Consider the following 4,060-nt stretch of genomic DNA (forward strand, 5'->3'; position numbering starts at 1 on the left):
TATATTTTTAGGGTACAGATTATTTATCAGATGTATGTTGTAATATCTTCTCCCAGTCTGTCATGTGTCCTTTTTAAACATGATTTCTTTTGCTCTGTAGAAGTTTTCAACTTTAGTGTAGTCTAATTCATCAGTCTCTTCCTTTACGAATTGTGCCTTTTGTATCTTGTATAAGTTTTTTTTACATTGTAATCTTAAAAATATCATCTTAGAATTTTATCCAAAAATCTTAAGTTTTTTACATTTTGTCTTTAATTCTATTGGAATTAATATTGATTTTGTAATGATGTTGGTATCCAGTATTACTACTTTACATGAGGCTCATTGGTCCAGCATTAATTAGTTACAGGCATACCTCAGAGATATTGTAGATTTAGTTCCAGACCACTGCAGTAAAGCACATAGCTCAATGAATCAAGTCACACATTTTTTTTAATTTCCCAGTGCATATAAAAGTTATATTTACCCTATACTATAGTCTATTAAATGTGAAATAGCATAATGTCTATAAAAACAATGTACATACCTTATTTTAAAAATATTTTATTGCTAAAAAATGCTAATGATCATCTGAGCCTTTGGTGAGTAGTAATCTTTTTGCTGGTGGAGGGTCTTGCCTTGATGTTGATGGCTGCTGACTTATCAGGGCAGTGGTTGCTGAAGGTTGGGGTGGCTGGGGCAATTTCTTAAAATAAGACAACAATGAAGTTCACTGCATTGATTTAATCTTGCTTTCATGAAAGATTTCTCTGGAGCATAAGATGCTGTTTGACAACATTTTACCCACAGTAGAACTTCTTTCAAAATTGGGGTCAGTACTCAAACCCTGCCCTGTCAACTAAGTTTATGTAATACTCTAAATCCTTTGTTGTATTCCAACAGTGTTCAGAGCATGTTCACAAGGAGTAGAATTCCATCTCAAGGAACCACTCTCATTGCTCATCCACAAGAAGCAACTCAACTCCTCGTCTGTTAAAGTTTGATCATGAGATCACAGAAATTCAGTCCCATCTTCAGTCTTCACTTTTAATCCTAGTTCTCTTGTTATTTCCATCACATGTGCAGTTACTTCCTCCACTAAAGACTTGAACCCTTCAAAGTTATCCATGAGAATTAGAATCAACTTCTTCCAAACTCCTGGTAATGTTGATATTTTGACCTCCTCCCATGAATCACGAATGTACTTAATGGCATCTAGAATGGTGAATCCTTTCCAGAAGATTTCCCATTCACTTTGCCCAGATCCACCAGGGGACTCACTATTTATGGCAGCTACAGGGTTACAAAATGTATTTCTTAAATAATGACTTGAAAGTCAAAATTACTGCTCGATTCACAGGCAGCAGAATAGATGTTATCTTAACAGGCATGAAAACAACATTCATCTCCTTGTACATCTCCATCAGAGGTCTTGGGTGACTAGGTACATTGTCAATAAGCAGTAATATTTTGAAAGGAATCTTTTTTTCCTGAGTGGTAGGTCTCAACAGTGGGCTTAAAATATTCAATAAAGCATCATATAAATAGATCTGCTGTCATATCTGGGCTTTGTTTTTCCATTTATAGAGCACAGGCAGAGCAGATTTACCATAATTCTTAAGGGCCCTAGGATTTTCAAAATGGTAAAGAAGCATTGACTTCAGCTTAAAATCATCAGCTGCATTAGCCCCTAACAAGAGTCAGCCTATCCTTTGAAGCTCTGAGGTCAGACATTGACTTCTGCTTAGCTATAAAAACCCTAGATGGCATTTTCTTTCAATGCATGGTTGTTTCATCTACATTGAAAGTATGTTGTTTAGTGTGGCCACCTTCATCAATGATCTCGCCTAGATCTTCTGGATAACTTGCTGCAGCTTCTACATTAGCACTTGCCACTTCACCTTGTATATTTATGTTATGGAGATGGCTTCTTTCCTTAAACCTCATTAACCAGCCTCTGCTGGCTTCCAGCTTTTCTTCTGCCACTTCCTCACCTTTCTCAGCCTTCACAGAATTGAAGAAAGTTATAGCCTTGTTCTGGAGTAGGGTTTGGCTTCAGGGAATGTTGTGGCTGGTTTGATCTTCTATTCAAACCACTAAAACTTTCTCTATATCAGCAATAAGGCTATTTCACTTTTTTATCATCTGTGTATTCATTGGCATAACAATTTTATTTCCTTCAAGAACTTTTCCTTTGCATTTACAACTTTGCTGTTTCATGCAAAAGGCCTAGCTTTTGGCCTTTCTCAGCTTTCAACAGCCGTTCCTCTCTAAGCTTAATTATTTCTAGCTTTTCATTTAATGTGAGGCATGTGTGACTCTTCCTTTGTACTTAAACACGTAGGAGCCATTATAGGATAATTCACTGGCCTAATTTCATTATTGTCATATCTCAGGAAATAGGGAGGCTTGGGGAGAGGGAGAGAGAAGGGAGAATGGCCAGTCTGTGGAGCAGTGAGAGAACACACAAGATGTATCCATTAAACTCTCTGTCTTTTATGGGCACAGTTCATGACATCCCCCCAAAATGACATTAGTAACATCAAAGATGACTTATCACAGATCACTACAACAGATATAATAATAATGAAAAAGGTTGAAATATTGCAAGAATTTTCAAAATGTGACACAGAGGCAAAGAGTGAGCACATGCTGCTCAACAATGGTGCCAATGAACTTGCTGGATGCAGGGTTGCCACAAACCTTCAAATTGTAAAAAACTCAGTGTCAATATGGAGAGACACAATAAAGTGAGGACTGCCTGTCAGAGTCAGTCTTTTCTTTATCAATCTTAAATGTCATTCCAATCTTAGATAAATGTTCCATGTATGTATATTTCTAGATGCTGTAGTCTATTCCATTCATTTATATTTCTATCCTGTGTCAATACCTCACTATCTCAATTACCATAGCTTCGAAATAAATCTTGATATATAGATGGTAGGGGCAATCCCCTCCACTTCATCCTTTTTCTTCAAAAATATCTGGACTATCATTGAACTTTCACTCTTTCATATAAATTTTAGAATCAGCTTACCCAGAAAAACCATGCTGGCTTTAAAAAATTATAATTATGGCAAATAAAAAGATTAAATTGGAGATGCAGGAGAGTTTATGATATTAAGTCTGTCTATCTATACATGAACATCACAAAGCTAATTCTTTAAGTTTTTTTTTGAAATGAAGTCTTGCTCTGTTGCCCAGGCTGGAGTGCAGTGGTGCCATCTTGGCTCACTGCAACCGCCACCTCCCGGGTTCAAGCTTTTCTCTTGCCTCAGCCTCCCCAGTAGCTGGGACAACAGGCGTGGGCCACCATGCCCAGCTAATTTTTGTATTTTTAGTAGACATGAGGTTTCACCGTGTTGGCCAGGCTGGCTCAAACTCCTGACCTCAAGTGACCTGCCTGCCTCGGCCTCCCAAAATGCTGGGATTACAGGCATGAACCACTGTGCCTGGCCTGTTTAAGTCTTTTTTAATGTCTCAAGACATTTTATCATTTTCTACCCCAAATGAATGCAGTTTTGCTGTTAGATTCATTCCTGGGTAACTACTGCTTGCCATTACCAATGATATCTAAATAATTTGTTGTGTCGTATAGGAAGAAACCCATTTTTGTACATTCATACAATCAGCAACTTGGAACTTGGATTTATTTTAAATATACACAATCAAATCAACAGTGAATATGACAGTTTTATCTCTTCTTTTACATTTATTTCTTTTTCTTTTCTTGCTGCGCTGGCCAGAACAGAAAGCATGATGTTAAATAGAAGCAATGAATCTGGACATCTTTGTTCTGTTCCTGATTTTAAAGGAAATATTTCTGACATTTCACCAGGAAGAATAATTTCCTTTAAGTTTAGACCAATGGTTCTCAAACTTCTGTGTGTTTTAGAATTTCCTTGACCACTCAATCACAACAATCACAGATTGCTGGATCCCAGCTCCAGGATTCCTGATTCAGTAGGTCTAAGGTAGGATTGGAGAATTTTCATTTCTAACAAATTTCCAGGTGCTACTGATGCTGCTGGCCCAGGGGCCATGTTTTGAGACTCACTGGATTAGACATAAATTTTGTTGG

Source organism: Homo sapiens, chromosome 1 (assembly GCF_000001405.40).
Source record: "Homo sapiens chromosome 1, GRCh38.p14 Primary Assembly".
NCBI classification, from domain to species: domain Eukaryota; kingdom Metazoa; phylum Chordata; class Mammalia; order Primates; family Hominidae; genus Homo; species Homo sapiens.